This window comes from Homo sapiens, chromosome 14 (assembly GCF_000001405.40).
Source record: "Homo sapiens chromosome 14, GRCh38.p14 Primary Assembly".
Lineage (NCBI taxonomy): Eukaryota > Metazoa > Chordata > Mammalia > Primates > Hominidae > Homo > Homo sapiens.
This window is the reverse complement of record NC_000014.9, coordinates 99,864,338-99,885,589: the sequence shown is the minus strand read 5'-3', so window position 1 is coordinate 99,885,589 and position 21,252 is coordinate 99,864,338. Positions and strand designations below refer to the sequence as shown.

Here is a 21,252-nt window from a genome sequence, read left to right as displayed (position 1 = left end):
TTCCAGTGTAAAATGTGGTGTTAAAATTGTCTACCCATAGGTGGTGCTGTTTACATAGTTCTTGAATGGCTGTGGCTTTCAAATGAAATGCAGTCATGGGCTAGACACGGGTGTTTCTGTCAATGATGGACCACATAGATGTCTGTGGTCCCACAAAATTATAATACTGTATTTTTATGGTATCTTTTCTATGTTTAGATACACCAATATTTAACACTGTGTTACCACTGCCTGCAGTATTCCCTATAGTCATGTGCTGTACAGGTCTGTAGCCCAGGAGCAGCAGGCTAGACCATCAGGCTGGACCATGAAGGTTTCTGTAAACACACACTCCATGATGTTCACACAATGAGAAAACACCTAACAATGCATTTCTCAGAATGTGCCTGTCATTAAGTGATGCCTGATCGTATACAATATCCTTCCATCCATTCAACAAATAGTTATTGAGCACTCATGTTCACCAAGTGCTGTGTAAAGTACTAGAGATACAAAGAATAAGAATGGCACGGCCTGGGCCTCCAGAGCCTAAGGGAGGGCAAGCGGTGTGTGCAGCATGGTGAAGGGAGGAGAGCTACAGAGTCACAGATAAAGTTAACAGGCAGTTACGACACCATCTGAAAAGCACTGCTCTCAGACTAGAGAGCCAGGGGAGGCTCCCAGAAAAAGGGGATCCTGAGTTGGGTCTCGAAGGATGAGCTGGAGTTCATCAAAAACAGTCACCTTCCCTGCCCCCACCCCCAGTTCCAGATACATCCACCTGTCACTTGGGAGAGGGGAAAACCCCTCCTCCTCCTAGGTGCTAGAAGGTGTTTGCCTTAGAACAATTCATTAAGCTACGAATTTGCTTGTGTGGTTTTCTGCATCTGTGCTTTATTTTATAGTAAAGTAAAAAGAATTTTCTAAATATGTTATCTTCTTACTTAGATCGGCATGTCTTTAATTAGGTCTGGGCTTGATTGCCTATTCATGAGTTAAGGGCCACTGGTATTTCCTTCTCAGTGAGCGCCTGTGCAGACCCTTTACCATTTTTCTATTCCGTGGATTATCTTGTTCTCCCATTTGTGAGTCCTTTGGGAATTAAGCAAAGCAGCCCTGCAGGCATTGTGCCACTGACATTTGTTAGGAGAATGAGTCTTTCTGTGCTGCTCCTTCCCACTCCCTGCCATGCCTTGGACTACGTTCTGTACACAGCAGGTGCTCCATAAGTCCAGCACAGCAGTGAAACTGAAAGAGCAAGGTGAGAACAATTTTCAGAATTTCTGATTCCTCGCTTTTCAGGCTGGGATAAAGACAGAAACAGGCGCTGGGGAATTCCAAGACATCCCCAAGAAAAAAAGCCCTGCAAGCAGGGGAGTGGGAGGGACACAAGTGTGCAGGCCTCAACTCCAACAGTCTGGGATGCAGACATGACACTCACAGCTGCCACTGTGGCGAGCCGACCGCAGACCAGCTCTGCACTGAGGCTCCTATGCATGGGATCTTAGGCACCCTGTGAGGCAGGTACCACTTTTACTGCTACTGAGGAAAACCCCAAAGAGATTAAGTCACTTGTTCACAATGACAAAGCAAAGCAGCAGAGCTGGGATTAACACTTGGCTGTGGCAATAAAGGCCCATCATTTTAACCTTCTTTTGTTATAGTGATCAGGGCAAAAAGATTCATTCGACTAATGCTTGTTGAGCACCTACTGTGTGCTGGGCATTGTTCTAGATGGTGGCCTGGTCTGAGTGGATTAGTGAAACTTGTTTGGTACTTAAACGTCCAACTGAAGTACTTCGGGCTGGAAACATGATGAACCACATCTAAAATAACATTGCAAGAGTGCATTTATTCACACAAAGACATGCTCATTTAGCAAATGAAGAAGGGATCACAAAATATGCACAAGAATGGCATTTATGTCAAAATTATACACTACACTCATACAGCACCCTGCAAATAAAAGTCCACGTGGAAATGTAATGACTGTTGGCTGTGAGTTCGCTGAGTGGTGAGACTGCAGGTGATTGTTGTTTCTTCTTTTTAGTGCATCTAGATTTTTTTTTTTTTTTTTTTGAGGAAGGGTCTCATTCCCATTGCTCAGTCCGGAGTACAGTGGTATGATCGCAGCTCACTGTAGTCTCAGCCTCCCAGGCTCGAGCAATCCTCCCACATCAGCCTCTCAAGTAGGTGGGACTACAGGTATGTGCCAACACGCTCAGCTAATTTTTGTATTTTTTGTAGAGATGGGGTCTTGCCATGTTGTCCAGGCTGGTCTTGAATTCCTGGGCTCAAGTGATCCACCCGCTTCGGCCTGCTGAAGTGCTAGGATTACAGGAGTGGGCCACCACGCCCGGCCTAGATTTTCTAAAACAAGTTACTTGTATAATAAATAAATGGCCTCAAAAAAGGAAAAAAGTTGTGCTGGGGAAAAGTGCGCAATGTGTTGGAGAGGCATGCGTGTCAGGGCACAAAAGGGAATGAGGAGCTGGTGGATGAAGGGCCCAGAGCCCCAGCCAAGGAGTACTGTTGAGCCGACGGCAGCAGTGATGCTATCGTAAAGGAAAAACAACTTTGCGCCCTGAAGAGCCCTGAGATGAAATAGTCACCAAATGCTAGAGCTTTAGAAAGGACAGGCGCTCAAGGTGTCCAGCCCAGTGGTTCTCGACCTGACAGCTGTACTACGGGGCTGTCTGATCCCGGGGTTGAGGGGGCACAACACAAAAGGGCACCACACCTAACATGCCAACGTCTTCACTATTTTGAGGTGGGTTTTTTTTTTTTCATGTTTGTTGACTCCAAAGATGGGCAGTTTATATCAAACTTGTCCAACCCACAGCCCACAGGCCACATGCGGCCCAGGACGACTTTGAATGTGGCCCAACACAAATTTGTAAACTTTCTTAAACATGAGATTTTTTTGGCAATTTTCTTTTTTTTTTTTTTTTTTTTTTTTTTAGCTCATCAGCTATCATTATTGTTCGTGTATTTTGTGTGTGGCCCAAGACAATTCTTTTAATCTGGGGAAGCCAAAAGTCCAGGGAGGCCGAAGTCCAGGGACACCCCTGATTTATACATATGTGACAACAAAGTTTCTAGCACATGACTGAAACATCCTTATTCTAACAAAATCAACTCATTTCAACAACTTTCAGTAAAGCTGAAACAGTGTCTTGCTTATAGAGCTGACATAGCTCATTCCCTTAAGACTTACAAAAGGGGAACCAGTTTGATAATTGAAATGCTTTATCAATCTAGCAACATCTAACATGAACCGTGCTTCTAAATAAGCAGCCAATTTTCTATCAGGTATAAAATACTTTTTTAATTGAAAAATATCTCCATCAGATTAGTTCACTGGCTACATTTTACAAGCCTTCCATCACGATGTTATTGCCAATTCTCTATTTAAATGTAGTATTTCATGATGACATGAATCACTATGTAATTATTAACGTTCATTTATCATCAATAATACATAAAGTAAAATACTACCATATATTGCTTTTGTTTTTAATAGAGGTTTTGTTGGTGCAAAGATTAAATGCTGTTAAAATTTTGTGGCTTGTTACAAAGTATTTGAAAAAATTAAACATTCTAAGATAAAGGTCTTCCATATCACAAGAAAGACTCAAATCCAGTGACCATTTGTAAAGAAAATGAGACATGGGAGCAAGAAGACTGAAACTATCATAAAGAATACAGTTTTGGCCAGGTGCGGTGGCTCACGCCTGTAATCCCAGCACTTTGGGAGGCCGAGGTGGGCGGATCACAAGGTCAAGAGATCGAGACCATCCTGGCCAATGTGGTGAAACCCCGTCTCTACTAAAAATATAAAACTTAGCTGGGCATGGTGGCACGCACCTGTAGTCCCAGCTTCTCGGGAGGCTGAGGCAGGAGAATCTCTTGAACCCAAGAGGCAGAGGCTGCAGTGACCCGAGATTGTGCCACTGCACTCCAGCCTGGTGACAGAGCGAGACTCCATCTCAAAAAAAAAAAAGGAAAAAGAAAAAGAATATAGTTTTATGAAAGCAAAACATGTAATTACTTTAAAATAAAGTATCTCAGAAAAGGTTAATATTTAGGACTCCACAAACACTATTATTTTGTGTTCAATAGTAAGATTTGTATAATTTATACAGAATGGTTTTCTATCTGCTGTAAGTATTATTATTGAGAAATAGTGCTGAGATGGAACTGTTTTTCTGAAGTAAAGGGAGCCTTTTTCTAATTTGCGCCTAAGTGCCATATGTGCTAACGACAGCTTTGCACATGGCGTGTGAGAAGCTGTGAGCTTTATGGCTAATAATCTGTTGTGGCTGCAAGTTAAAGCACTGCCTGTGTGAATGATTTGCTTCTTCTACAAAGCAGCACAGGGTGGAAGCCATCCCTATGACGTCAGCACTCTCACTCACATGCACCCTAACTAGCCTTCCTGAGTGGAAGAGAATGGGGCTCTGGAACAGCGGGCAGGCTGGGATCGCAAGCAGCCCACAGACCAGCTCCCGCCCGATGCCTTATTTAAGAACTGTGAGCTTCACAAGGATTTATAATACTTTATTTCCCCCAACTACGTTAGACACAAGTGCAACGCGGATTGTGACAAAATCTAACACTTTCATCTTACAAATGAGGAAAATAAAAAGTGAGGAATTGTAGAAAATCTCACTGATTACTTTCCTCTGCTCCACACAAGCCTGTCTTTATAAGAACTATCACAGGGATGACGATCATTTACTGAGTGCCAAGCCCTACGCTGGATAATTTCCTACAAGTTAGCTCATTTATAAGATTCAAGGGCATTAGGTATAAAATCTCTAATTTGTAGAGGAAAAAACTGAGGCTTGGAGACATTAAGGCAGAACTGGATACACACCCAGATCTTTCTTTTACTGCAGAGCCTCTGCCCTTTCCACCATGTCTTGCTGCCTACAGGAACCCAACAAGGGCAATTTTTTAAATCACAGGACAGCCTGCAGGAACAATGGACATGTCGAGTGAGCGATGGGGACGAGGCATGCCATCTTGAGTCCACTGAACGCAGTAATGTTTAAAAACAGAAATTACATGGGGGCCACCTCCCTACTCCTTTCCTTCCCTGTGTCCCATCCTCGAGGGTGGCATTTCTCAGCAAGACTCCAGATCTGCTTTGGTGCTGGGGTCAAGGCAGCCTGAGCATGGGGCTGCGCACGTGGGAATACAGAGGAAGAAAGGCGGGAAGGGGTCAGGCAGCCACTGAATTACCAGCTTAACCTTCACTTCTACCGAGTCTTAGCTGCTTCTTTTGAGTTACTGCAGCTCTTACTCCTATGGGTCCCTGTCAAGACCAGCAATTGCCTAAGAGGAGACAGTAACTGTCTCTGAAACCCCTTCAGTGCATGATGCATGAAACTCAGCCAGCTCTGTGCTATGCTCGCCTCAACCACGCCTGGGTTCTAACAAGACAAAGAATTTATTTTTAAATGGACATGTTTAGTTGCCTGAATTAGTTTGGGAACATGATTAGTAAATTTTCCCAGTCCCTCATTTCCAAATCAAAATTTCCTACTGTGGCATTTCTCAAAAATCTCTTTGTAAATATCTTCTATGGAAATATTTACCCAGCACATTTACCAAAGCCATAGGATTTTAAAGATAAAATGGATCTGGAGTTTACACAATGCAGATTCTTTTTGGAAATTCTTAATAAAAATCAGATGTGCAGAGGAGGAGCCAAGTCTCTAAGAACTGCCAAGATCTAGACATTTCAGGTCAACTTCCAAGCTTACCCTGAATTCAAAGAAGCTTTGGGCTACGTTGCACCTCCCACTAATTCACACTCTGTTGCCACTGTAACCACTTGGCCTCATTTCCAAGGTATTATCACCCCATTAGCATAATCTTCTGATAAGAAGTACTAATAGTCTAAATGAGAAGAAGACAGAACCCATGTTAATGGTTTTTTAAATTGTTAATAGACCGTGGACCTGACCTGTTATAGATGTGAGAAGTGTCTCTATGTTTTCTACAACAGACATCTTTTAGGAATAAAACTGAAAAAGAGTTTAAGCTTCCTTTATAGGACTGAATCACCATGGATTTACAAACTTGGAAGTTTTATAGCCTGTGGGTTGGAGTCGATTGCTTTATGACTAAGCCTTCTCCTTACATGAACATTTGGGAAAAAAAACACATGCTTAGCCTCTGAAGCTGAAATTCCTTCCTCAGCTTTACTAAACAGAGAGAATAAAATTAAAGTACAATGTTTAAAAAGTGAGAACAAAGTACAATGTTAGGTAAAAATACATAGAGAAACTGGATTTTCTTTACAAAGTACATTATATAGATATAAATATATTATATAGACACAAAACAAGCTGCTAAAATGCCAAAAAGCAGCATTCAGGAACAAAATGTTACTATTAGTTTCACTGATACTTATCATAATCCATTACAAACTAACCTCATAGAAAAACTCAAAAATTTGGAGTCCACGTATTTCATGAAACCATAAAGAAAAATGGTTCACATTTCTGGTGTTAGCATCAATATGAAACATAGCCTCTGATAAATCATAAAATTACAACTTTTCAGCCACTGTGTCTCAGAAAATACTGCTGACAAACTTAAAGCAGTCCATTAAAATGAACTTAAAAAGGTCAGGAGAGTGTACTAGAAATCGAAGGTGCTCAGGTAGAAATTCAGAATGGCTTCCCCAGTTCTAGGTACTTGGTACTAAGAAATTCTCAGGAACTACTTATGTCTACATGAGAGTGCTGGGAATCTGAGTGACAGTTTTTCCACCTGGACGGTAGTTTGTGTGAACTGTGCCTGGCAGCTGCCCTCAAATGGCTGTTTGATTAGTCCTATAAATACCTGAGGAGAAGGTCTTCTTCTCCAAGAGTACTCCCAGCTTGTTGGAATATGAGGGGATCTTCTGACTCCTCTCTGGGGACAAGCCGTACTAACATATCTGAACAGCAGGAACTGAGAGATAAGACGTCCTTACCTTTCACTGTTCTTTTTGCCACTGGAAGAGCTGCTGGTGGAGCCTGTGCGATTCCGGTTTCCTCTGGAATCCCCATTGCTTTCCCTTCGACCCCCAGGAGACACTCGTTCAGAAGAGCTGGTCCTCTTGATGTTACTAAGGGTGGAATGGAAGTGACAGTGAACTCCTTAATATCGTGACTTTATTTTATTGCTAAGCATACAAATATATACATAGAACGTCATACTTCCACATGGATATTCAAAAGACAGGCCTAGCAACGGAGATCAAAAAGCTTTTCAGAGTGTCACATAGAATAACATCTCTGCTCTCTCTCTGCCTTTTTAACTGAGGCCACTAGCACAGTTCACAGTCATGGAGAAACTGAGGCATTAAGACTTCAACAGTACCGTGTGAGAGCACTCCAGGGGCTTCCAGGGAAGCAATCCTGCCCTTGAGTAGGCTTCACTTTCCAGGGATGTCCAATCTTTTGGTTTCCCTGGGCCACATTGGAAGAAGAATTGTCTTGGGCCACATATAAAATATACTAATGCTAACGATAGCCGACGAATTAAACAAAAAAAAAATTGCAAAGAAAATAGAGTATTAAGAAAGTTGACAAATCTGTGTTGGGCCACATTCAAAGCTGTCCTGAGCCACACAAGGCCCATGGGCCCATGGGTTGGACAACCTTGGTCCAGATGGTGGTGTGCAACCCGGGGGGATGGTGCCCCCAAGACATCTGGCAATGTCTGGCGACATCCTTCTGTTGCCACAGCTGGGGAGGGACTGCTACTGCCATGTAGTGGGTGGAGACCCGGGGTGCGGCTAGAAATCCTGCATGGCCCGGGATGGCTCACTCCACAAAGTAGCACCTGGCCCCAGACGTCGATAGTGCTGAGGTTGAAGAAATCTGGCCTAAAGGCAGGCGTGGGACAAATGCTAACAGGACGTCACGAGTAACGACAGAAACGTTCCACCCTGTGTACAATGCCTTTGTTTGGAGGTGGTGTCCATGTTAAGCGGCCAACTTCATTCATAGGACAAGAGGGACTAGAGTGCTCAGAGGCCTGGGAAGGCAGCCTGGGGAAGTCTTCCCAAAGACTGCGAAATTCCGGGAAAGATCAAATGAATGGCTTGAATGTGTTGTTATGACACAGATGGAAAGAGCCTGCTCTAGGAGAAGGGATCCCCTATACACAGGGGATTCGTAGGCATGAGGGGTAAACCAGAGCCCAGGTATGGAGTGGAGGCTGATTGTTCCCCTCTTAGAGCACACTATGGACTGTTTGTATTCCCCAAATTCATGTGTGGAAACCCTAACCCTCAATGTGATGGTGTTAGGGGGTGGGGCCTTTGGGAGGTGATGAGGTCAGCAGGGTGAAGCCCTCATGAGTGGAATTAGTGCCCTTATGGAAGAGGCCCAGAGAGCTCTCTTACCCTTTTCCACCATGTGAGAAGATGGCCGCCTGCAACCTGGAAGACAGCCCTCATCAGAACCTGACCATGCTGGCCCCCCTGGTCTCGGACTCCCAGCCTCCAGGATGGTGAGACATATATTTCTGCTGTTTATAAGCTTCCCAGTCTATGGACTTTGTTACAGCAACCCAAACTCACTAAGACAGAGCACATAACTCTAGTATAGGTATCTCTGTACATACTTAAAAATCTACATCATTAGTCCACGCATTTCTTGAGATCTTATCTCATTTATCATTTTCGTAGCTTTGCAGAGCCCTATACAAAAGTTTGGTACACATTTATTAAATGAAAGGATGAAATAAATGGAAGTATCACACACTGACCCTGTCACCAGAAGAGACACAAACTGCTTTAATGCAGCACCTGCTCTGTAAGCAAAAAAGGAGGAGGGGAGGGGCAGGCAGGGGGCTGTTCTAGGGCCAGGGCTCTGGGAACACACACAGACTTGGGTGGCTCTAGTCTTGACACTTGGAGCTGGAGGTGTGGGTGGGTGAGAATACAAGCCTGCAACACGCGAGACAGCTCAGGACAGACTCTATCCATCTGGCGGGTGCTGAGCCACGGATGCAGAGGAAATCACCGAGGGAGGAGGTGACCAAGGACAGAAGAGCCCTGGGGAAACTAATGTTTAAAGACGTGGGCTGAGAAGCTACCACAGGAGTCAGAGGTAGCAGCGACACCAGGAGAGAAGGAGTGGTGCGCAAAGGCTAGCGCAGGATTAGGTAAATGTGCTGGTGCTGCACAGAGGAGGGGGTGAGCCCTGGGAAGTGGGGAGTCTCAGGCGGCGCCAGTGGGCACAGCTTCAGTGAAGGGTGCACGGGGACCAGATCTCAACAAGGAGCACGCAGGAGCTGAGGAACTTAACACAGCAAGACCCCTGCGCCTGCACTGAAGCTCAACGTCCTCCCTCCTCATAAGTAAATGACAAGCCTCCCATCCAGGCAGCTCCTGCCTGGGGCTGGCCACTCTCCTTCTTGGTAGCCAGTGACTCTCTCCTCTCTTCCTTCCTTCCCCTCTCTGTCTCCTCTGTCTATACACCCTCCTTAGCTCAACTTTCACTCTTCCTTCCTTTGCAACTTCCAGTGGCTCAGTTAGTAATCTCCAAGCAGGTTTTTAAAAACCCTCATGGTATGCTGGCTTTGAAATCACTCTCAGGGTGATTATCTGAATACACTTTCCACATAGTCTTTTTGTTAACTGGGGAACCCCTGAGTGGACAGTGCCAGAATCTTACAACTGCAATCTGCAGGGTGTGCCTTAAGGTCAAAATGTGTGTTTTTAGAATGCTCAATTTGGGGACAAGGAAATTACAGATTTTAAGAGAGCATTACATTTCTGAAATTTGGGATTAAAGTCTAAAAATTATAGGAGCCTTTGTGCTTCAAGTTCAAGATGTTCCCATGACGACAAACACCAAGCTAATTTGACTTAGCAGGATTATTCTCCGCCCAGTCTTTAGTACAAGGCTCTGATGCACACTTTGCCCAACCAGCTGCCGGGGCCCTGGGAGATTTTGCAGCCGCAAGAAGAGCCCAGAGCACAGCTTCTGGGGCGTCCTTGTGGGAGTTCATGGCAAGTTCATAGCAACTTAAAGAACTGTATAAAACACCCTTAAAGAGCTGAAAAACCACAACTGTTCATCAATTACAGCAAACACTAACTGATTTTCTAATAATTAACACTCAACCTGGTGGCTGGAAGAGTTCACGGGGGTGCCAGTGATGAAAACTGCAGCAGCAGCAGCCACAGTTAACGTTTAAGGCATACTCTGGACTTTTACATATACTGTATTACTTAATTCAAACCTCACAAATCCCCTGCAGCAATATCATTATCCTCATTTTACAGATGAAGAACCGAATTCAGGAGTGTGAAGCAACTTGTTTGGGGTTACAGCAAGTGGTGGGGCTGGTGACTTCAACCCTGTGTTCTCTCTATTAGGCCCCTAATTAACACCATCTGCAATTTATGAACCGCCAAAGTATACTGTTTTGGAGGACCAGTTGAGCATCTAAAAAAACAATAAATGTCAATGATTAATATAGTTACATGATTGATGACTTGATGAATGGTAGGCACTGGACAAGACCTTGAAGCTACTACGTTAAAACAGAGATGGAAACAATGGAAGGAACAGCTATGGTGACAAAGTAAATCTAAGTTCCCCTCACCTTGGTGTCGATCTATTCAGTTTGCAAGCATTGAGAAGACTCACAGATCTGTTTAATCTACATATAAGAGGCACAGAAATAAAGCAGAATAAATGTGAGTGCAATTAATAAAAGCGTGGAAAAGTATTTTGATAAGCTTCAGTAAATTGCAGGACGCACACATCAAAATCGAAAGACATTTTGGTTCGCAAATATAGACGTGGATATAATCCTTCACAACTCTTCCAAGATATTTGTCATTCCCATATTTGCATTAAAATGTTAAACTTTTTAAAAAAATCTTACTGTTGTCCCAGACGTAGAATAAAAAACAAGACATTTCCTTTTGAGAACCAAGGGCTCTTATGAATTAAAGAGGATTTACTAGGACTCAAAGTGAAGGACAGAAAATAAAGCTTAAAGACAAGACATTTGCAGTAACAAGGGCAGCCAGAGAGAGCAATACCGTACACTCACTGCAGGAAGCCTCCTCAAATAACCAGCAGGGAATATCAAAGAAGCTATGTTCTCTCTGGACGGCGAGTGAAAAATAATGCTCTTTATTTTGAAAGTGGTAGAAGTACTGGCTTGTGAGAGACTGTGCAATAATGCAGTATATTTTTTAGTGCTTAAGGCAAGTATTTTTTGTATAGAAATGCATAGACATCACCACTTATTTTGTTTTCCCTTCTGCTCTCTGTCCGCACACCCAAACCTGCAACCTTGTAAGTTATGAAAATAAATGGTTCTTTATATTACATTGCATATGCATTCAACAATTTGTGCCACTTAACACTTTAGACATAATAAAATTTCTGCAGGGAGACTGGTGACCATAAGAAAAACAGATGTCTTTCTTCTTATGGTTAATAAGAATTCTAAGCATAAGAAGCTACAATTAGGTTTTCTTTCATCATGTGATTGGGAATCAAAAATTGATTTTCCAAAATTTTGCAAAAGTATCCCAAACTTTTACAACCAAAACAGAAATCTGACAGACAGCTCTTATGTGTGACCAGAGATTTTCTGATGATTTCATTTGTCCTGACAGCTGGGGCGACTAACACTGGATAAAAGCAGTGATCTGCTCAACAGACACTTACTAGGCATCAACCATCCACTGTGCGCTATGCTGAGTGCTGGAGGGTCCACAAGGGACCAGGACCCACCTGGCTTTTGTCCCTCAAATTAGGAGATAATTCTGACAGACTGAGATAACGCACTTCAGTAATTAAATTAACAAATGCTCATATCTTTCACTGTCTAAAAACTGATCTTCGGCAAAATCCAAGTCATTTTTCAGGAAGGCTAGTGGTCTGGGAGAATCTTAGAGAATTCTATATACATAAGTCTTTCTTTCTACAATACAAAGTCAACTACTCGAGCTAGTGGGGAGAACCATATCACTTCTGATAAGGGGACAGGTCCCGCAGGTCTTCCTTTGTTCAACAGGACAATACTTCCACCTCTATTTTGCTACTGAGAACAGACTCAAACATGGATTTATCACCTACGTTTCAATGGATCGGAATAATAGAGAAATATATTAGAAATAATTCTTAAAAATCAACTGAAGCCAGATTTTGGCTTTCTATTCTTCAAATCACGCTATGTACCCAGCACTGGCTTCAGTGCAATTACAAATGCTGTACTTCTAACAAGTGGAACTATTTTTCCAAAGGACTATTGGCTGTTTGTTTGGAAGCAAGAGATATTTACCAGTCTATCTCACATTTGTCACAGAGCATTTTTTAAATAACGCTTTTTGTACCAGTTTTGTTCTTTTGATCTCTGTTCACATAGCTTGGCCTATTGTCATGCTCTACTTATGAGCCCAGAGAACAGTGATTGTCTCTTTCTTGAACCAGTAGAAATGTTACTCCATTGTCAGCCTCCGCATCCCCACTGAGCAAGGTATGACCTACAATGTCTTCCCTGGATTTTCTGCCTTTTTTCCTTTGCCTAATGGAAACAAAGCTTTTCCCAAGGATTCCAAATCAAGCCCTCAATCGAAGTCTTAATTGGCAACACAAAGCACAACCGCTGGGAACTGGACTATTTCCAAAGGGGATTTTGTTCTTAAGCACCAGGCTGAAAAACCCCCGGAGAAAAGAAAACAAACATATACCCATCCACACACCACAGATGCCCCAACTCATTTAATTTGGAACTCTGATTACAGAAAAATTCCTACCTGATTGTAAACATATTTGAAATGACTTGGAAGTTATTTTAATCCTAATATTCAGAATGCCCAGCCTGCTTCTTTCTGTTTTCAAAATTCTCTCCTAATGAGAGATCTATAGGAACTTTACCACAGAGTAGCAATTAGATGCTACTGTTCTTATTTCTAGCTTCCAAATGGAAGGGAAGTCCCATCCACCGAAGCCCATAAATGCCAGAAACGAACCAAAATACATGAATCACTACACTTTCACTCAAAACCCAGAGTCTTGGACACTCAGTCTAGAAAAATATGTATTTCTAGTTGGCAGCTATATGCTGACAATAGCTTATTAGAGTAATCAAACGGATATTCTGTAAATTATAAGGAAAAGTCTACAGAGGCCTTAGAATGTTTCTGGGAGGAGGGTTACCATTTAAGTGCTAGCACACACACGTACACACTTAGATATAACACGATGGCTACTAAGCATAATTTTTCACGTGTTCGTTCACTCCTTCCTGTCTTGCTCCCTTCCTCCCTCCCTTCTTCCCTAAGATAAAATTGCTGAGAGTAATTGCCACCTAGGAGCCCTTTCATATGTGGCTGAAATGTGGGGGTGTAAGACCCAGGCCTCTGTTCATAGCCAGGACTTGTTTCCTTACTTGGTGTTTGGCCCCGACATCCCCTTAACAACATCAGACCTGCAATCTGAGAAATCTTTGCTGAGAGTCACCCTCACTCCTGACTGCTGCTCCTGCTCCCACAAATAGTACACAGACAGGATGGGGCATAAAAGAAGGATGATTTGCAAGCAGTCATTATATCAAGCGTTTTTCCTGAGCAGATGTCAGGGCTGACCTGGAAATCTGTGCGGGAAGCAGCCGAGCACAATGGAAGGCGCACAGGCTTTGGAGCCAGACAGCCCGGGCCACGTTCCCCACGCTCCAGCCACACGACCCTGCCACTGCTTCATCAGGGTTTGTGTGCTACTCTAAACCCTTTATTGTCATGAAATGTGAACAGTGTTCACAGCATCTTCTCTCGGAGTAGATCCTATCGCAAGAAACTACTATTTTGGCAGTAATTCCTCGCCCATTAAAGTTTTATCAGGAGATCGTAGCAACTCAGTCCTATCCTCAGGCTGCATTTCGAATTCTAGTTCTCTTGCTATTTCTACCACATTTGCAGTGACTTTCTCCAGTGAAGTCTTGAATTGCCTCAGAGTCATCCATGAGGGCTGAAATCATCTTCTTCCAAACTTCCCTGTTCATGTTGAGATTTTGGCCTCCTCCCATGAATCATAAATGTTCTTTTTTTTTTTTTTCCTTTGAGACAGGGTCTCGCTCTGTTGACCAGGCTGGAGTGCAGTAGCACAATCATGGCTCACTGCAGTCTCAAACTCCTGGCCTCAAGTGATCCTCCTGCCTCGACTTCCCAAAGTGCTGGGATTACAGGTGTGAGCCACTGTGCTTGGCCCCACAAATGTTCTTAAAGACTTTTAAAATGTTGAATCCTTTCTAGAAGGTTTTCAGTTGACATTGCCCAGATCTATTAGAGGAATCACTATCAATGGCAGCAAATGCCTTGCCAGGTGCGGTGGCTCACGCCTGTAATCCCAGCACTTTGAGAGGCCGAGGAGGGCAGATCATGAGGTCAAGAGATCGAGATCATCTTAGCCAACATGGCAAAACCCTGTCTCTACTAAAAATACAAAAAAATTAGCTGGATATGGTGGTGTGCGCCTGTAATCCCAGCTACTTGGGAGGCTGAGGCAGGAGAATCACTTGAACCCGGGAGGCGGAGGTTGCAGTGAGCCAAAATCGCGCCACTGCACTCCAGCCTGGGTGACAGAGCAAGACTGTCTCAAAAAAAAAAAATGTTATTTCCTAAATAATAAAACTTGACAGTTGAAATTACTCCTTGATCCAAGGGCTGCAGAATGCGTGTTGTGTGAGCCAGCATAAAAACATTAATTTCCGCTCCATCAGAGCTCCTGGATGACTAGGTACACTGTAAATGAATGGTAATATTTGGAAAGGAAGCTTTTTCTTCCGAGCAGTAGGCCTCAACAATGGGCTAAGAATATTCAGTACATCATATTGCTACAACAGATGTGCTGTCATCTAGGTTTTCTTCCATTTATAGAGCACAGGCAGAGATTTAGCATCATTCTTAAGGGCCCTAGGATTTTTGGAATGATAAATGAACACTAGCTCCAATTTAAAGTCACCAGCCACATCAGGCCCTAACAAGAGTCAGTCTGTCCTTTGAAGCTTTGAAGTCAGGTATTGACTTCTCATATAAAAGCCCTAGATGGCACCTTCCTCCAATGTAACGCTGTTTCATCTACATTGAAAATGTGTTGTTTAGTGTAGCTGCTTTCACCAGTTATCTTAGCTAGCTAGGTCTTCTGCATAACCTGTAGCAGCTTCTACAATAGCACTTGCTGCTTTACCTTGCACTTTTATGTTATGGAGAGGGCATCTTCCCTTAAACCTCATGAGCCAACCTCTGCTGGCTTCAATCTTTTCTTCTACAGCTTCCTCACCTCTCTCAGATTTCATAAAATTGAAGAGAGTTAAGGCCTTGCTCTGTATTAGGCTTTGGCTTAAGGGAATGTTGTGCCTCGTATGATCTTTGATTCTGACCACTCAAACTTTCTCCCTATCAGGAATAAGGATGTTGCTTTTTATTTTTTTCTTTTATCATTCACGTGTTCACTGGAGTAGCACTTCGAATTTCCTTCAAGAACTTTTTCTTTGCATCTATAACTTGGCTAACTGTTTGGAACAACAGGCCTGCATGAGTCCGTTTTGTGCAGCTATAAAGGAATGCCCAAGGCTGGGTAATTTATAAAGAAAAGAGGTTTAATTGCCTCACAGTTCTGCAGGCTGTCCAGGAAGCATGGCACCGGCATTTGCTCAGCTTCTGGTGCGGCCTCAGGGAGTTTTCAATCATGGCAGAAGACAAGACAGGAGCAGGCACGTCCTTTGGCAAGAGAGGGAGCAAGTGGGGAGGAGGTGCCACGCTCTTTTAAACAACCAGACCTTGAGTGAACTCAGAGCAAGAACTCACTTATTGTGAAGACAGCACCAATACGTTCATGAGGGATCTACCCTGATGAACCAAACACCTCCTCCCAGGCCCATCTCCAACAGTGGGGATCACACTTCAACATGAAATTTGGAGGAGACAAACATCTAAACCACATGATGGTCTATCCTGGCTTTTGACATGTCTTCCTCATTAAGCCGAATCATGTCTAGCTTTTGATTTAAAGTGAAAAATGTATGACTCTTCCTTCACTTGAACACTTAGAGGCCATTATAGGGTTACTAAATGGCCTTATTTCAATATTGTTGTGTCTCAGGGAAAAGGGAGGCCAATGGAGAGGGAAAGAGATGGGGAAACAATGGGCAGAGGAGTCAGGACACAAACCACATTTATGGATTAAGTTTGCCACCTTCTATGGGTGCTGTTTTTGGTGCCCCAAAACAATTACAGTATTAACACCAAAGATCACTGATCACCATACCAGACATAATGATAACAAAAAAGTTGTAATGTTGCAAGAATTACCAAAATGTGACATGAAGTGGGTACATGTTGGAAAAACGATGCTGATAGATTTACTCAACACAGGGTTGCCACCACCACCAATTTGTAAAAAAAATGTGGTATCTCTAAAGCACAATAAAGCCAGACACAATAAAATGAGGCATGCATGTATTTGCTACAATAAAAAGTCAATCTTTAAATTAAACAACTCACTCTTAAACAATCAATGGTCAAAGAAGAAATCACAAAGAAATTTTAAAAATATCCGGAGACATATGAAAACACAACATACCAAAACTTTACAGGAGGCAGTGAAAGGGGTACTAAGAGGGAAGTCTATAGTGATCAAAGTTTTCATAAAAAGAAGACAGATCTCACATCAGCCTCCTAACTTTATACTTCAAGGAACTAGAAGAAGAAGATAAAACCAAAAGTTGGCAGAGCGAAGGAAATAATAAAGATTAGAGCAGAGATAAATGAAGTGGAGAATAGAAAAACAATAGGAAAAAAATCAACAAAACCAAGAATTGTTTTTTTTAAAAAAGATCAACAAAATTGAAAAACCCTTAGCTAGACTAACAAAGAAAGACAGAAAATTTAAATAACTAAAATTAGAAATGAAAGGACATTACAACGGATATAACAAAAACGAGAAGGACTATAAGAGACCACTGTGAACAAGCATATGCCAGCAAATTGGGTGACCTAGAGCAAATGGATAAGTCCTAGAAACACAAAGCCCACCAGGACTGAATCATAAAGAAGCAAAAAATATGAACAGACCTAGAACTAGTAAGGAGACTGAAGCAGTAATCAAAAACCTCCCAACAAAGAAAAGTCCAGGACCCAATGGCTGCAGCGGAGAATTCTATCAAACATTTAAAAAAGGATAAATTCCAATGCTCCTTAAACTCTTCCAAAGAATTGAGGAGGAGGGAACACTTCCAAATCATTGCATGAGGCCAGCATTATTCTAATACCAAAACCAGACAAAGACACAAGAAAAGAAAACTATAGACCAATATCCCTGATGAATGCTGATGAAAAAATCCTCAACAAAATACTAGTAAACTGAAAACAACAGCACATTAAATGGATTATATACCATGACAAATTAGGATTTATATTTGGAATGCAAGAATGATTCAACACATAAAAATCAATCAATGTGATACAATATTCACAGAATAAAGGACAAAAACCACATGATCATTTCAACTGATGCAGAAAAAGCATTTGACAAAATTCAACTCCTTTTCATGATAAAAAAACACAACAAACTAGGAATAGAAGGAAACTACCTCAATGTAATAAACGCCATATTTGAGTGGCCACAGCTCAAATAATACTCAATGGTAAAAGACTGAAAGCTTTTCCTCTAAAATTAGGAAGAAGGCAAGATACCCACTCTTGCCACTATTATTCAACATAGTACTCAAAGTCCTACCCAGAGCAATCAGACAAGAGAAAGAAATGAAAGGCATCCAAATAGGAAAGGATCCAAAGTAAAACTATCGGTCTACAGATGACAGAATCTTATATTTAGAAAACCCTAAAGATTCCAGAAGAAAACTGTGAGGACTAATACATAATTTCAACAAAGTTTCAGGTACAAAACCAACACACAAAAATCAGATGCATTTCTATATAATAACAATGACCAAGCTGAAAAGGAAGTTAAGAAATTAATTCTATTTACTGAAGCATCAAAAAGGATAAAATACTTAGGAATAACTTTAACCAAGGAGTTAGAAGACTCATACACTGAGAACTACAAAACTTTGCTAAAAGAAAATACAAAAAAAGAGAAAGACATCCTATGTTTATGGATTGGAAGACTTAATATTGCTAAAATCTCCATGCTACTCAAAGTGATATGCAGATTTAATGCAATCTCTATCAAAATCCCAAAGGCATTTTTTTGCAGAAATAGAAAAAAACTATCCTAAAATTCATATGGAATATCAAGGGACCCTAAATAGCCAAAACAATCATGAAAAAGAAGAATACAGTTGGGGGCCTCCCATTTCCTGATTTTAAAACATACTAAAAAGCAATAGTAATCAAGATGGTAGGGTATTGGCCATAAGGACAGATGTGCAGATAAATGGTACAGAATAGCCACTGATGGATGAATGTATAGACAAAATATGATAAAGATGGGGATAAGAGACACTGGGGACTCCAAAAGGAGGGTGGGAGAGAGGTGGGTAAGGGTTGAAAAACTTCCTATTTGGTACTATCTTCACTATCTGGGTAACAGGATCAACAGAAGCCCAAACCTCAGTATCACAAATATACCCTTGTAACAAACCTGCACACATACCCCCTGAACCTAAAATTAAGATAAAAAGCAAAATATGATATATACACACAATGCAATATTATCCAGCCTTAAAATCAGTCACATGCTACAATATGGATGCATGTCGAGGACATCATGCTAAACAAAGTAAGCCAGTCACAAAAGAACAAGCACTACTTAGATGATCCCACTCCTAGGAAATACCTAATGTAGTCAGAATCATAGCAACAAAAAGTAGAGAGGTGGTTGCCAAGGGCAGTGGGGAGAGTAGAGGGGAGTTACTATTTAATGGGTCTAGAGTTTCTATTTTGCCTGATGAAAAAGTTCTAGAGATCTGTTGCACAACAATAGATGCGTGAATATACTTAACACTACTGAACTCTTTTTTTTTTTTTTTTTTTTTTTTTTGAGATGGAGTTTTGCTCTTGTCACCCAGGCTGGGGTGCAATGGTGCAATCTTGACTCACTGCAACCTTGGCCTTCCAGGTTCAAGCGATTCTCCTGCCTCAGCCTCCCAAGTAGCTGGGATCACAGGCATGTGCCACCACGCTCAGATAATTTTTGTATTTTTAGTAGAGATAGGGCTTCGCCTGTTGGTCAGGCTGGTCTCGAACTCCTGACCACAGATGATCTGCCCGCCTTGGCCTCCCAAAGTGCTGGAATTACAGGCATGAGCCACCAAGCCCGGCCAGCACTACTGAACTCTACACTTAAAAATGGTTAAGGTGGGCTGGTCTCACACTCCTGAGCTCAAGTGATCCGCCCACCTTGGCCTCCCAAAGTGCTGGGATTATAGGTGTAAGCCACTGCACCTGGCCCTAAAATATAAAAATCTTTAAATGATAATTACAAAATAATAGCAAAGTTAAGAGCAAACTGTGCTCTTTGTGACAGATAACATCAATATTTAGACTCCATTGTTGGGTACATTTTGAAAGTATGAGCTTATCCAAATTGCATAGAGAAAAATCTAAGGTTGCTATGGCAATCTGAATTTTGCCATGTTCCCAGTATGGACTTGGGAACAGCTATTTATTTTTACCCAGGTTATACTAACATTTGTTTTTTCAAAAGAGAACTTTAAGTAAAAATACAAAACACCACACTGTGGTTTTAGCCAGTGAGGTTTCAAAGGCAACACAAGTAAATCTAAAACAAGAATAATAATAAACTTAACTAGTTCTTGTTATGGCACCATATAAAATGTTGGACTTTTATAAGCTTTAACTCACAGAAGAAATTGTACAATGTCATTTTAAAAAGTAATACTCATGTTGGAATCTAAGAGAGAACTGCTTTGAGAGTTCATTTAAGGCCCTGCTTCTGGCTCACCTTTTGGTTGCTGGCACAGCAGTTTCTTTCCTGACCCCGGAGGGGGATGGTAGAGAGCCAGTAGGTTTCTTTGGTAACACAGTGCCATTGTTGACCGTGGTTCTTAAAGGCAGGGTCTGCATCAGTGGTCTTGCTGTAAGACAAGCAGAAAATAATATCAGAAAGTTCCCCTTTGCAAAGGTAACATTTTACAGCAGGGGTCCTCAACTGCCTGTTAGGAAGATGAGGCCACACAGCAGGAGGAGGTGAGCAGTGAGCGAGTGAGCAACTCTTCATCTCTATTTACGGTTGCTACCCATCACTCATGTTACCACCTGAGCTCTGCCTCCTGTCAGATCAGATTAGATTCTCATAGGAGTGCAAACTCTTGTGAACTGTGCATGCGAGGGATCTAGGTTGAGCATTCCTTATGAGAATCTAATGCCTGATGATCTGTCGCTGTCTCCCATCAACCCTAGATGGGACTATCTGGTTGCAGGAAAACAAGCTCAGGACTGCCACTGATTCTACGTTATGGTGAGCTGTATAATTATTTCATTATATATTAAAATGTAATAGTAAGAAAGAAGGTACACAATAAATAATAAGAAAGAAGGTACACAATAAATGTACCATGCTTGAATAGCCCCAAAACCATCCCCACCACCCGCCCCACTTCTGTGGAAAAATCATCTTCCACAATTTCCTTGGTGCCAAAAAGGCTGGAGACCACTGTTTTACAGAACATAAGCTAAGTAGAAAGGAAAAGGACATGAATTTTGAAACACCAGCAGCACTGACAAAGGTATGAAGGCAATTCCTTGGAGAAAGGATCATCTTTTCTTTTTTTTTTTTTTTTTTTGAGACAGAGTTTCACTCTTGTTGCTCAGGCTGGAGTGCAGTGGCACAATCTCAGCCAACTCGGTCTCCTGGGTTCAAGCGATTCTCCTACCTCAGCCTCCTGAGTAGCTGGGATTACAGGTGCTGGCTACCATGCCCAGCTAATTTTTGTATATTTAGTAGAGATGGGGTTTCGCCATGTTGGCCAGGCTGGTCTCGAACTCCTGACCTCAGGTGATCCGCCTGCCTCGGCCTCCCAGTGTTGGGATTACAGGTGAGAGCCACCATGCCCAGCCAAGATCATCTTTTCAACAAAGGCAACCTAGACACTAACCTCACACCCTACACAAAAATTAAAACAGCCCATAAACCTAAATTTAAAATGCAAAACTATAAAACTTCTAGAAGAAAGTGGTTTGGTGATGAGTTTTTAGATATAATACCAAAAGCACAATCCATGAAAGAAAAAAATTGATAGTTTGGACTTCAT

General features: G+C 42.1%; 1 protein-coding gene across 12 annotated transcripts in view, besides 2 other annotated features; it reads right to left on the bottom strand.

The window, feature by feature from the left end:
• EML1 (EMAP like 1) overlaps nucleotides 1-21,252 on the bottom strand; it is a 204,339-nt gene that overhangs the window by 56,471 nt on the left and 126,616 nt on the right. For 10 of the 12 annotated variants that reach the window (XM_005267398.3, NM_001375411.1, NM_001440377.1 and 7 more), the window contains exons 3-4: nucleotides 19,944-20,076; nucleotides 6,971-7,105 (exon numbers count right to left, since the gene is read on the bottom strand). In XM_005267398.3, coding sequence (XP_005267455.1) covers nucleotides 6,971-7,105; nucleotides 19,944-20,076 — 268 coding nt within the window. Of the gene's footprint in view, nucleotides 1-6,970; nucleotides 7,106-10,602; nucleotides 10,660-19,943; nucleotides 20,077-21,252 lie in introns of those variants that run through there. The other 2 variants (NM_001008707.2, XM_024449507.1) reach the window with 2 other exon arrangements.
• Nucleotides 1,399-1,936: an enhancer, noted in NCBI's record as "OCT4-NANOG-H3K4me1 hESC enhancer chr14:100349991-100350528 (GRCh37/hg19 assembly coordinates)". NCBI's record gives its function as "activates a minimal SCP1, AML or CMV promoter by ChIP-STARR-seq in naive H9 embryonic stem cells {active_cell/tissue: H9 hESC(naive)}" and the evidence as "EXISTENCE:reporter gene assay evidence [ECO:0000049][PMID:30033119]".
• Nucleotides 8,608-9,160: an enhancer, noted in NCBI's record as "H3K4me1 hESC enhancer chr14:100342767-100343319 (GRCh37/hg19 assembly coordinates)". NCBI's record gives its function as "activates a minimal SCP1, AML or CMV promoter by ChIP-STARR-seq in naive H9 embryonic stem cells {active_cell/tissue: H9 hESC(naive)}" and the evidence as "EXISTENCE:reporter gene assay evidence [ECO:0000049][PMID:30033119]".